Source organism: Homo sapiens, chromosome 1, assembly GCF_000001405.40.
Source record: "Homo sapiens chromosome 1, GRCh38.p14 Primary Assembly".
NCBI lineage: Eukaryota > Metazoa > Chordata > Mammalia > Primates > Hominidae > Homo > Homo sapiens.
This window is the reverse complement of record NC_000001.11, coordinates 192,815,388-192,829,077: the sequence shown is the minus strand read 5'-3', so window position 1 is coordinate 192,829,077 and position 13,690 is coordinate 192,815,388. Positions and strand designations below refer to the sequence as shown.

Here is a 13,690-nt window from a genome sequence, read left to right as displayed (position 1 = left end):
GGCTCTTTTTTGGTTCCATATGAAATTTAAAGTAGTTTTTTTTAATTCTGTGAAGAAAGTCAATGGTAGCATGATGGGGATACCATTGAATCTATACATTACTTTGGGCATTATGGCCATTTTCATGATATTGATTCTTCCTATCCATGCGCATGGAATATTTTTCCATTTGTTTGTGTCCTGTCTTATTTCCTTGAGCAGTGGTTTGTAGTTCTCCTTGAAGAGGTCCTTCACATCCCTTGTAAGTTGTATTCCTAGGTATTTTATTCTCTTTGTAGCAATTGTGAATGGGAGTTCACTCATGATTTGGCTCTCTGTTTGTCTGTTATTTGTGTATAGGAATGCTTGTGATTTTTGCACACTGATTTTGTATCCTGAGATTTTGCTGAAGTTGCTTGTCAGCTTAAAGAGATTTGGGGCTGAGACAATGGGGTTTTCTAAATATACAATCATGTCATCTGCAAACAGAGACAATTTGACTTCCTTTCTTCCTATTTGAAAACCCTTTATTTCTTTCTCTTTCCTGAGTGACCTGGCCGGAGCTTGCAATACTATGTTGAATAGGAGTGGAGAGAGAGGGCATCCTTGTCTTGTGCTGGTTTTCAAAGGGAATGCTTCCAGTTTTTGCCCATTCAGATATTGGCTGTGGATTTGTCATAAATAGCTCTTATTATTTTGAGATACATTCCATCAATACCTAGTTTTCAGCATGATGTGGTGTTGAATTTTATCGAAGGCCTTTTCTGCATCTATTGAGATAATCATGTGGTTTTTGTCATTGGTTCTGTTTATGTGATGGATTACATTTATTGATTTGTGTATGTTGAACCAGCCTTGCAACCCAGGGATAAAGCCAACTTGATTGTGGTGGATAGGTTTTTGATGTGCTGCTGGATTCGGGTGGCTGTTTTGCTTTTTTAAAAAAAATTATTCACAGAAACTTTAGGAAGCATCGTGAGATACTGCCTCAAGGAGTGCTAGCCAGATGGTCATTTAAAACTGCATTCTTGGCTGCAGTATTTAAATAAGTACATTTATAAAGCCAATTAAAATAATTTTTCTATTTAAAATTGAAAAGAAGTTATCAATACTAATTTGCCTTGATGCCTATTTAAATGCCTAACTCCACTTTGACTTAATTACTGATTTTTCTATTGGAAGTTAATACATAATTTTTAAAGCAATACTTTCTCCTCAAATCTAAAATAATGCTGCCTAGCTTCTATAGAAAAGTATGTTGAGTGACCTGCCTATACCCAAACTTCTTTATCAAAGCATTCCTGATATCAGCACTTACTGTACGTGCCACAGAATTTCCTCTTAACAAGTAATATGGACTTGTATTGACAACTAACTTTATAAATATCTGTGTTTTGTATGCACTGTGCTTATAATATATCTAAAATGTGTTTTGTATTTTATCAAAACTTTGTTTACTTCCATTTTTGTTTTATTGTAATTCAAACCACAAATCTATTTTTATTTAAGCATAGAAATCAAATCATCTACCTTAAAAATCCTCTTTTCTTATCTATCTGGGCTGTGCAGAAGGTGTGCCCTCTGAAACCTGACTGGATCTATTAACTCTTCCATGGTTCTCATCTCACTGATGAAGAGTTCCGGACAGGTTATTCATTCATTACTGTCGTCAGCGGCCTCACTCACAGTATTAGCTGTCAGTTTCACTGCCAAGCTGTCTTTGTCATTGGCTTTAGTAAGACAAACCCAGATTTATCTTTTATGACAGTTCATAGGATGTCCTGTAAACCCTACCCAGATAGGAGGTGTGGAATGTCACCCTTCTTTACAAGTTGTCATACTTGATGCTGGTACCATTTCCTAACTCTTAGTCATTTCCTTTCAATTCCTGGATAATGTTCATTCCATTTCTTGAACTTATCTGGGTAGCTAGTTAACATAAGAAGTTAATTTTTTAAATCATTATTTGCTTTCAAGAAGACTTTGCTATGGAGTAGGGCTACATGGGTTAAAGATTTATGAGATTGCACTCAAGATTTTTATCTTTTTGTATTTTTGAACTCTGGCTAACTAAAGATATTACCATTAGTCACTGGCAGATCACTCTGGAATTTATCTGAATCCATTTTATTTCTAGGGTTATACTCTCCAGACTGTTGCCCCAGGACGTGTTTACCTTGGCCTTTTGAATGTGGGTAAGGAAGTGGAGGAGGGAAATGGCATTTTTGTGACTGGACCTGGAAACTTTGTGTCACTCATTAACATATCTATGAGGTAGCAACATGCATGACATCTGTGCCAGATGGTCTGTGAAATAGAGAAAATGTGCATACATTTTGTTGTCCAAATTCAGATTAGTAGTAGTAGATAAGTAAGAAGATACTAGAAATGTTACAGCCCAAGAAATAACTAGTAATAGTTGTTTTAAATAATCTAAGAATGCTTTTTTTAATTAAAATAGAAATACGCAAACATGAGGTATTTGATAAATCCTAAATATACCATTTTTCTGCAGTATAGACTTATTTGTTCATTTAGTAACATTGATTAGGCATCTGCCATGTGCTTTATACTCTGCTAAACACTGAAAATAAAAGGAAAAAATGAAACATAGTTCATTTCCTCTGAGGAATTCACCATCTAATGAAAGAGTAGATACACATTTAAATGCAAAATGGGTGAATAGTCCCTCTCATGTCCTGGTGTATGAGTTTTCCCTGCTGCTTCACCACTTGCCACCAGGATGACAAACACCTGTATCTCCTGTCAGAGTGGAAGGCATGCCTATGAATATTCTGGGCCATTGAAAGGGGATTTCCAATGTAGTGGAAATTAAGAAGGGGCTATCCTGGGGAATGGAAAGCCCATACCCAAAGTGATGGATGAATGGTTAACTTTACTTCTCAAGTGGGGTGACAGGTGGTGATCTCTGAGTTTTGAGGATGGTTTGTAGGCTTGGGCCACCAAGGCAACAGCCTTGCAAGACAATAAGACAATAGATGGCTCCCTACTCCTCTCCAAGTCATCAATCTAGCTCTAGTTACTCTTCTCCATGTGACCCTCGGGGGGTTAGAGAGGGTACCTGGAAGTTAGAAAGCCAACGTGTGCTCTAAAGAAGGGAGTTGTGCCCATTGCTTCATCTTGGAATATAATTCTTTGCTGCTTCTTTCTGGTCTCAAGCTTTTAATATTTTTCTCTAAAATGGCTCATGGTGGTTCCATGCCATGGACCTTGATGGCTATGTGGTGATTCTCAGAAAATTGTTTGTAAATGCATAAACAAAATTTATGGGATTGCAAAGGAAACCAGTTATACTGAAATATAGTAATCAAACTATTAAAAATGGTAATAGAGAAGACTTCTACTTTTTGGAAGATGGAATAGACATATCTTTCCTTATTTCTCCCACTAATTTCAACTAAAAACCCTGCATATTATGTATGAAACAAATATTAAAAACTCAAGAAAATGTAGAGAGGTAGAAGGACTGGTTGGAGACTTTGGGTCCCAATGAATGATATGGTGGTAAGTTCCTTAGACTGTCTTTTTGCCTTATATTTCTCAGACTTGGAGCCAAAAAACTGGCAATCCACAATAGCCCAGGAAAACAGAAAAAAAAGTCCCCGAAGAAAAGTCTTTTTTCTTCAGCCAAAGAACTAGGAAAGGGGAAGCCTAGCAAGACAGATACTTTTAAACAATAAATGTCCACCTCCACCTAAGCCAGTAAAGGCTGAGTGGGGAGTATAATCTTCTACCTTTGTCAAGCTGTAAGACACATGACCATCAGTGGCAACCTGCTGGGAAGCTGAAATTCTCACCCCTGTCAAAAAGTAAAAAGGAGAATCTCTTCCTATTGGGTATCAATAAAGGCCAAACAAACCTGGACTTATATCCCACCTGAAAAAATAAGGCAGCATCCCCCTTCTGCTGAAGTAGCATCAAATGAAGCCAGCTAAAACAGAAGTTTAAATATGATCCAAGGTCTCATCATAAAATACTCAAAAATTTCAAGTTTTAATAGAAAATCACTTGGCATATTAAGAACAAAGAAAATATCAAGTTGAATGAAACAAGACAATCAGTAGATGCCAACACTGACATGATAAAGATATTAGAATTATATGACAAAGATTTCAAAGAAGCCATTATAAAAATACTTTAATAAACAAATACAAACATACTTAAAACAAATGAAAAAATAGAAAATGTAAGCAAAGAAATAGGAAGTCTCAACAAAGACGTAGAAGAGATAAGCAACCAAATGGGAAAATGGGAACTGAAAAATACAATAACTTACATAAAAATACTTGATGAATGGACCTAACATCAGAATAGATGAAACAGAGGAAGCAGTTAGTAACATTGAAGATAAGGTAGAAATTACCCAATCTGAAAAAAAGAGAAAATAGACTGAAAAAATATACAAAGCCTCAGAGACCTCTGAGACTACAGCAAAAAAAATCCTAACAATTTTGTCACTAGACTTCTGAAAGGAAAGGAAAAAGAGAGTGGGTCTGGAAAAGAACCAAAAAAATTAATGGCTGAAAACTTCCAAAGTTGGCAAGAGAGCTAAACCTACATATTCAAGGAGGCAAGTAAATCTCAAAAAGGATAAACTCAGAAATCTACATTAAGACACCTCATGATCACACTTCTAAAACTAAAGACAAAGGAAAACATCCAAAAATATTTTGGACCTAGGGCTAGACAAAGAGTTCTTAAGCTTGACATTAGAAGCATGATTCATACAAGGAAAAATTAATAAATTGGAGTTCACTGAAATTAAAAACTTTTGCTCTGTTAAAAGGATAAAGAAACAAGCTATAGGTTGGGCAGAAAATGCAAACCACATATCTGATGAAGGACTTGTATGTAGAAAATATAAAAAACACTCAAGTCTCAACAGTAAAATAAATAATCCAATTAGAAAATGGACAAAAGATATGAACAGACATATCACCATTAACACAAACTGCTCTGAGGATGGGCAAAACCTCGATCACTCATAAATACATTGCTGGTGAGAATGTAAAATGGTACAGAGCCACTCTGAAAAAGTTTGGTGGTTTTCTCATAAAACTAAATATGCAACTAGTGTATGACCTAGCCATTGTACTCCCGGGCAGTTATTCCAGAGAAGTGGAAACTTATGTTGACACGGCAACATGTACATGAAAGTTTATAATAGTTTAATTTGTAATAGCCAAAACTGAGGCAGTCCAGATGTTTTTCAATGGGTTAAACAACCTGTAGTATAGTCACACTATGGAATACTAGTCAGCAGTAAAAGGAACAAGCCACTGATACATGCAACATCTTGAATGAATCTCCAGAGAGTTGTGCTGAGTGGAAAGGTCATCACAAAATGTTACATACTGTAGGATTCCATATCAATAACATCTGAGAAATGACAAAATTGTAGAAATGGAGAGGAGATTAGTGGTTGCCAGGGTTTAAGGATGGTATGGGATGGGAGGGAAGTATGTGAGGCTATAAAAGTGCAACACATGGGATCCTTGTGGTGATGAAAATGTTCTGTATATCTTGACCATATCAGTATTAAGATCCTAGTTCTGATATTTTACTATAGTTTTTCAAGATGTTATCACCTGGGAAAAGTGAGTAGCGAGTACGCAGGATCTATCTTTTTTTTTTTTTTTTGCAACTGCCTGAGAATCTACAATTATTTCAAAATAAAACATTTAATTAAAAAACTATGATAGAGCAATATACTGTTTGTACTTTATTAACACTTTAAACAAGATTTATTTTCAGATCTAGTTACTATTGAAGGTTGGAAATAACAATCTTTAACAATTGTAATGTGAAAAGATCTGAAAATTCTGTTTGTGGTAGTCACATGTACTGCTACTGCTGCTTCTTTCTCTCACTCTCTCTTTCCTTCTTTTCTTTTCTCCTTTCTTTTCTTCCTTCCTTCCTTCCTTTCTTTCTTTCATTGAGATAGAGTCTCGCTCTGTTGCCCAGGCTGGAGTGCAGTGGTGTGATCTTGGCTCACTGCAACCTCCACCGCCTGGGTTCAAGGGATTCTTGTGCCTCAGCCTCCCTAATAGCTGGGTTTACCGGTGCGCACTACCACGCCTGGCTAATTATTTTTTATTTTTTGTTTTTTGGAGTTTTACTAGAGATGGGGTTTCACCATATTGGTCAGGCTGGTCTTGAACTCTGGACCTCAGGTAATGCACCCGCCTCGGCCTCCCAAAGTGCTGGGATTACAGGCGTGAGCCACTGCACCTGGCCTGGCTTATTTCTTAGACTCACAAAGGAAGAAAATGCTACATTTAATTAGGGGTTAGAAAAAAGAATGTGTAATTTTTTTCTTATCCAAGGGCAGAGACCACTAAAAGGTCTATGGACAGGTCCAGAACTCCTTCCCTAGAGCCTATATTTTAAATGTTAAAAAATAACAAACAGGCTGGGTGCGGTGGCTCACGCCTGTAATCCTAGCACTTTGGGAGGCCGAGGCGGGCAGATCATGAGGTCAGGAGATTGAGACCATCCTGGCTAACACGGTGAAACGCCGTCTATACTAAAAATACAAAAACTTAGGCGGGCGTGGTAGCGGGCACCTGTAGTCCCAGCTACTCGGGAGGCTGAGGCAGGAGAATAGCATGAACCCGGGAGGCAGAGCTTGCAGTGAGCCGAGATCGTGCCACTGCACTCCAACCTGGGGGACAGAGTGAGACTCCATCTCAAAAAAAAACAACCAAACAAACAAACGAAGTGGGCACTGACCAAGATATAGAGTTCCTTTTCCTCCTCTGGAACAATTTGATTGACAAGGGAAATGTCTCTACAAGTAAATACAGAAAACACTAATGTTTTGAGATAGATGTTATTTCAATAAAAATGCTATCATGGAAGTATGAACAAAACAATGCAGGCAACCAGAAGAAGAAAGTATTCATTCTCTAGGGTTCATCTGTGAAATTTTGCAGAAGTCAAATTTTATCAAGGATTTGAAAAACAAAAGTATCAATCAGAGAAGAAAAGGGCATTTCAGGCAAGAAAACAGCACATGCAAAGGGCTAAAGGTATGGAGCTGCCTGGGAAGCTGTTGCTGTCAAGGAATAGTGAGATGTCTGCTTGGTGGCAGGCCAGAGTGCGTTAGTGGAGGGTGAGGAGGATCGTTAAGAAACTATGAAAGAAAGCTAGAAAAGGAAGTTGAGAGCCAAAATGAGAAGAGCCTGCTAGTAGGTTTGGAGTTGATTGTGTACGTTATTTGTGGTGCTGAACAGGTTTTCCTAGATGGAGAAATTAAATGTTCTGATGAGATTTTTAAGTAGACAAATTTGGATGTCTACTAACTGCCCAGCATAGTGATTAAGTACAACTTATGCAATATTTCTTACATTTCTTAAAACTGTTTATAAGGTTGATAGTGATCTAGGGTGAGGATCCATAATCTGAAAATCTGAAATAAAAAATACTCCTAAATCCAAAACCTTATGAGTGCTGATATGATGCCACAAGTAAAAAATTCTACACCTGGCCTCATGTGATGGGTTGCTGTCACAATGCGTGTGCACAACAATGATGATGCTGTTAACACTGCAGAAAAGTGCCCAGAGATGACATGGTGAACATGTGTGATGGGCTTATTGAAGGACTAGAGCAGCATGCATTTGTGACAGAAAAAACAAATCACGTCAGTTTACAAAAGCAAAGAGAGATGTCTAAGATAAAAACTGTTGTTAGTGAAGCAGATGACTCTGGAGGAAACATTTTAAAAAGCCATCCCGCAGAGTGCCTCCTCATCCCTAGAGGACCCACTTCCTGGTCCTTCAACTGCTTCTGATGTTTCTTCTCACCTAGAAAAATAAAATACAGTGCACAGTAACCTTTTAATACAAACATAGCATCATGAGTGGAGACCAAAAGCTTGCCATTGTTTGTTGCTGCGGTTAACAGCTGATACAGATATTCTGGGTGATGCTACTGCGCTGCTTAGTTCCCTAGAGTTCATTATTTTTTCATTATTTTTCACTTAGTTCCCTAGAGTGCATCATTAATAATGATATGTCATATTTTATACTATTACATAGTGATGTGTGAATAAATATTAGAAAATGATTACTTATTGCTAGCAGATAAATTCAGAGTCAGGAATGATAGTGATGCCAGACAACCATGGATTGTCCACAGGGGTGGCTGAGTTAGTGAAACCTTTGCTTTCTGATGGCATGTACACAAACTTTGTTTTATGAGCAAACTTATTAAAATATTGCATACAGTTACAGTTAGGCTATAAGTATAAGGTGTATATGAAACATAAATGAATTTCGTGTTTTACTTGTGTCCCCTCCCCAATATATTTCATTATGCATATGCAAATATTTGAAAATCCAAAGAAATACAAAAATCTAAAACACTTCTGGTCCTAAGCATTTTGGGTAAGGGATAATCAACCTGTTCTGTCCTCAATTAACAAGTAAGAAAACAGTCCTGATAGAAGCTCAGTATTGTATCAAAGGCTGAGCAACTAATTCAACTGGTGGAATCAAGATGACAGTAGAAGTCTTGACAGCCTTTCAGCTCCACGTTCTTTCCACTCCAGTCTTCTGGTGGGATGAAATGGACTCAGGTGTTTGGAGGCAGGAGAGGTTTCAGGCAAAAGTTGTAGTCAAGAATCCAGGTAATTCAAAAAGAGTAATTTCTATTTAAAGAAAAAAAAAAGAATCCAGATAAGAGATGGTGATGGACTCCCCATAGGTAGACTGCCTTCACATTAATTTAATGGAGGGGAATTCTCAGGGGAACCTCTGGAGTTTAGTAACTCAGTAAGTTTGAATGGCCGAGGTTTACAGCTTTCGAAAAAGTCCCTATATAGTGGCAGGTTTTTAGCTGGAAGGATAGAGTGGATGAAGACATCAGCGACATGACAGGGCACCAAAGAGAAGAATGTTAGATGGCACCTAAGGAAATACGCTGTTTAAAAAAACAATTAGAAGGATAAAGGTTATCTAGAAACATTAACCTGGTATATTATAATAACATTAGCAAAATATTTGGGTAGACCTGGTAGGCCTGGTGATTTGAGAGATACCTCCTCAAGGATTATTTATATTTTAGGGCTTTAATAATGCTGGGTGTAATGAGTTGCTGAAAAGATTATTCTTTTTATACATAAAATTATTTTGGAATTAATAGAAAATTATGGTTTAGCTAAAACAACTTTTATGTCTGTTCCATTCAAAGAATATTTATTATTGCAAAGCAGAAGAAGGCTTTACTTTAATTTATCAGTCAGTGAACACAAACTCACGCAACCTTTGACAACCCTCTGCACAGGTAAACATGTGCCTTTCTAGACCAGCCAGTGTCTTCCCTATCTCACTGCATAGCTTATTTCCTTCATCAGCGTTTGCCATACTCTAGAATTATCTTATTTGTTTATTTGCTCATTTGGTCATTATCTATTGACCCCAGCAGAACATAAGTTCCACGGGTGCAGGCAACCTCTCTTTTTTATTTGGCATGGTGTCCCAGTGCTTTGCACAGAGTAGGCACTCAGCAAGTATTTGTTGAATGCAAGATTGGATGCAGAGATTAATGAAATTTGTGTCATGGAAAGCTGAGATGGGTCTTGGGGAATATTAGGTTATGGGTAGAATAAATGGAGTAGGGGCCTATCCAGACAGAAAGTCAATATGAGTGAAATGATAGGAGTTTTGTTAATGGGAATAGGAAGGAAAGCAGATGGAATAAAGCGGTAATTTTATGTTAGATTGTTTGAGGAAAAAAAAATTAAAATTGTCAGGGTAGGGATAGAATGCAGAAAATAATCCAAAGCCAAGCAAGATTTTAGAGCTGGAAGAGACGTTAGTAATGCAATCAACTCCCTTACAGTGAAATAGCTGAGGTCCTAAGAGGTGATGATTCCCAAGTTAGCTAGAAAGTTAATGGCATTATGACCAGCATCTCATTCTGTTGGCTTTTAATCTGGTACTCTTTGCATGCTACTTTGGAAATAGGAAGGCAATAAAACTTTTTGAATGGAAAACAATATATGGTAAAATTGGTGTTTATGAAAAATAGTCTTGCTCCATATGCAGGGTGAATTGGACAGAGGAAACTCTAATTCCAAGAGAACAGGGAAAAGACTATGAAGTAATAGTGGTATGATACAAAGAAGGCCTAGATAATGGTAGCAGAGTGGTAGGGGGAAAGAACAGATAATCATTGGAGGACAAATAGGCAGAACTAAACTAAGTTATACTGTTTCTAAAATGGAACTTTCTGTGAGAAAATACTTAACTCTTACTCCTAAGATATTTTTATTCAGTACCATCTTGAATATTTACTTTTTAGAATGCATTTTGAGTGAGGAAGTGGTTAACAGTTTGCCTTTGCACAAGTCAAAAAAGAAATGTGTATTATATTTTAAGTAGTTAGAACACAAAAATAATATGCCAACATGAGGTCTACCTTAGGTTTTTAAATCATATCAATCATAATTGAGGGCTTATCAAATCAAAGATATAGGACTGGGGACTGCCTTGCCTAAAACTTGTTTAGTATGAAATGTGTCTGACATGGATCTGCATGGGCTGCAAGTGTAAAATATGCACCAGAATTTGAAGACCAAATAAAATAATTAAACTATCTCTTTCATAATTTATCATATTGATTACATGTTGAAATGATAATATTATAAATATAATGGGTTACATAAAATATATTATTCAAATCAATTTCACCTATTTCTTTTAAATTATTTAAATTTCATTATAATATTTGACATTACATATGTGGCATATATATATATATATATATATATTTTTTTTTTTTTTGAGACAGTGTCTCACGCTGTCCTCCAGGCTGGAGTGCAGTGGCGCCATCTCAGCTCACTGCAACCTCCGCCTCCTGGGTTCAAGCCATTCTCCTGCCTCAACCTCCCAAGTAGCTGGAATCACAGGCGTGTGCCACCATGCCTGGCTAATTGTTTTGTATTTTTAGTAGAGATGAGGTTTCACCATGTTGGCCAGGCTGATCTCGACTTCCTGACCTCAGGTGATCCACCCACCTTGGCCTCCCAAAGTGCTGGGATTACAGGCATGAGCCACCCTACTGGACTGCATATAGTCTTATATTGTATTATTATAATATACATCATAACACATATATGATGATATATAAATGATATATAAATTATTAATCATAATATATGATGATATATAATATAATATATCATAATATTATAAAATATTACTTTATTTTTTATTGTATAGTACTACTTTACTGCTTTTGTGGTCAATATTCTTTCTGAGTTATTTTTTACATTCTATGGCTAACTAATCTCTCAAAGTTCAGAAGCACTTCATTAGTATTAACATTTTCAGTGGTAACTGGTTTTTCTGAAAATGTGTGATGACTACAATTATTTCTGAAATAGTTGCATTATTCGTTGCTCTTAAAATGTTAATCATATTACTAGAACTTTTATAGAGTGTTATAGGAGTTGTCAAACTCTGGCATCTGAAAAACAGAAGTAGAAGAAATTAGAAAGAAGTAGAACTTTAAGTCCTGACATTTATGTCACAATGCTCAGTGGCCACTTTTGCAAGAAAATTACCCTATGTGAGAATATGTTGGTTTGTGCCAAGTGGAGATTTAATACTGTAAGCTTCCCGGCAAGCAGGGAAAGATCTACTAAGTACCACCTGCTTTTCAAACAAAAGTTTTATATCTGGTCTTTGTCAGACTATACCACAGCTCATGTAAACCGCATACTTTTCTTAGTTCTTTCAACAGTGCAGTTTCAAACGCACTCGTAGATTACCTGTGGTTGCATTCTGAAGCTAAAGACTGGGAGAGTAATTTGGGTTGGAGGTGGTAATAGTCCTATAAGACTGGAAGTTGCAAACGCATTAAAAAAAAAATCAACTCCCTCTTCACTCCAAATAGACAGCAGGGAAATAGTTTCTTCTCACTCTTCCTTTTGGCCCACTTTTCTTTTTCATTATTTTGATTTTGGTGTGACGTCTGTACATGTCTAAGATATACACCAGCTTAATAAACACACAGAATCACTCCTAAAGGAAGCTTCCTTATAGGTCAGTGCACTTTTAAAACCATACAAATATCAGATTAATTTGGGATTTGAGAAAATCTAACATTAGGATCTCATCCAAGATCCACATAGTTCAGTTTTACTATAAATTTGCAAGGCAAAAACGTAGAGCCAAGATTAAAATATGTAGACTTCTGAAAAAACTGTTATTTTTTACAAGTCAGTTTAGCATATTTAAACGAAATCATTTATATCACTGCATGGATTTTTACTGAAGAGTTTGTGAGTCAATCAACCAACCAGTAAGTTAATAAGATCATCAATGAGCAACGAGTATCAATAATATGGAACTTTATTAGTTACTTTGAAAATGGAGTAAGTCGGAATGGTCCGGTTAGTGACCACTTAATTGGAGATACGACTGATGCACCCATGGAAATATTTTATGGAGGTGAAACTTTGAGCCTTAAAAAATGAGTATAACTTAAGGGAAGAGAGAGAGGGTTTTGGGCAAAGGGAAATTTTTGATTTAATAGTAGGAGAATAATATATCTCAGAGGCAATAAGAAAAACCAGTATCAAATGTCTCATGTCAACAGTGGGAAATAAGATTGGATGGGCCAAAATTTTACAAAAATGGTAGAAATTTTTTTGCCTTAGGCATAGGAATTTCCCTTGATTTGGGAGATACCAGGGAATTTATGTACTTTTCTGAGCATAAGAGTAGTGTGAGAAAGTTAGCGTTCAAATGGCATTCTAGGGAAGGGATGAGAAGCAGAATACAGGATCTGAGGCCTATTGAGATAGGTGAGAGGAGGATGACCACGGTGAATAAGCACTTGGCTGTAGTAAGGGAAGGGAAAGATGCCTGGGAAATCATGAAGAAAGATTTGATAAAGCTTAATAACTGTGATGATGATCTTATGAAAATCAACTTTTAAGAAAAATTAAGTGCAGCTTTTAGTTGCATTTTGAGGTTCTAGTCTTCTACTCTTATAGACATGTCTTGCCCAGAGAAGTCCTTCATAAGTATTTATCTATATATTTACTTTTAATATTTGTTAAAAAACGAATCAATGGACTAGTTTTCAAATATACATCCCCATTAAAAATATCTGCCTACAAAAATATCACAGCACAATGCAACAGGTAATCCTACTTTTCCCCTTTCCTTCGATTTAGACTGTTTCTCCACCTTGAATAATCTCTCCTTTATCTCTCTGAAATTCAACACATTTATTAAATACCAACAAAAATGCCACTTCACTGTGTTTCTTGATTTATTCCAGCTAAAGGTATCTGCACTTTTATTTTCATAATTAATCAGCAATCATAGCTCACACTCTGTTTTAATTTGGTATATTTATTTCATCAGCTACTTAATTGGTACTTCTTGGAGGATAGGGAATGTGTCTCATGGGTCTTTATATTTATTCCCTATGTAGTTTAGATCAGTGTTCTGCATGGAGTAGGTGATGTATAATTTACTATTAAGTTACACTGAATTATTTGGTGACACTGTCCTGGTTCAGACACATGGCTGGTTCTCATGTGAGCTATTATTGCAGCCTGCTAACTCATCGCCCTGTCTCCAATCGAGCCTTATATTGATACCCAAGTCATTTCCATAAATTTTACTTGAGATTGGTGTCACATTCCTGCAGAATAATATCCCAACCA

The 13,690-nt window shown here is 36.5% G+C and overlaps 1 annotated feature.

The window, feature by feature from the left end:
• Positions 1,297 to 2,496: an enhancer, noted in NCBI's record as "BRD4-independent group 4 enhancer chr1:192795712-192796911 (GRCh37/hg19 assembly coordinates)". NCBI's record gives its function as "activates an origin of replication core promoter dependent on BRD2, P300/CBP, MED14 and CDK7 cofactors, and independent of BRD4, by STARR-seq in HCT116 cells {active_cell/tissue: HCT116}" and the evidence as "EXISTENCE:reporter gene assay evidence [ECO:0000049][PMID:35650434]".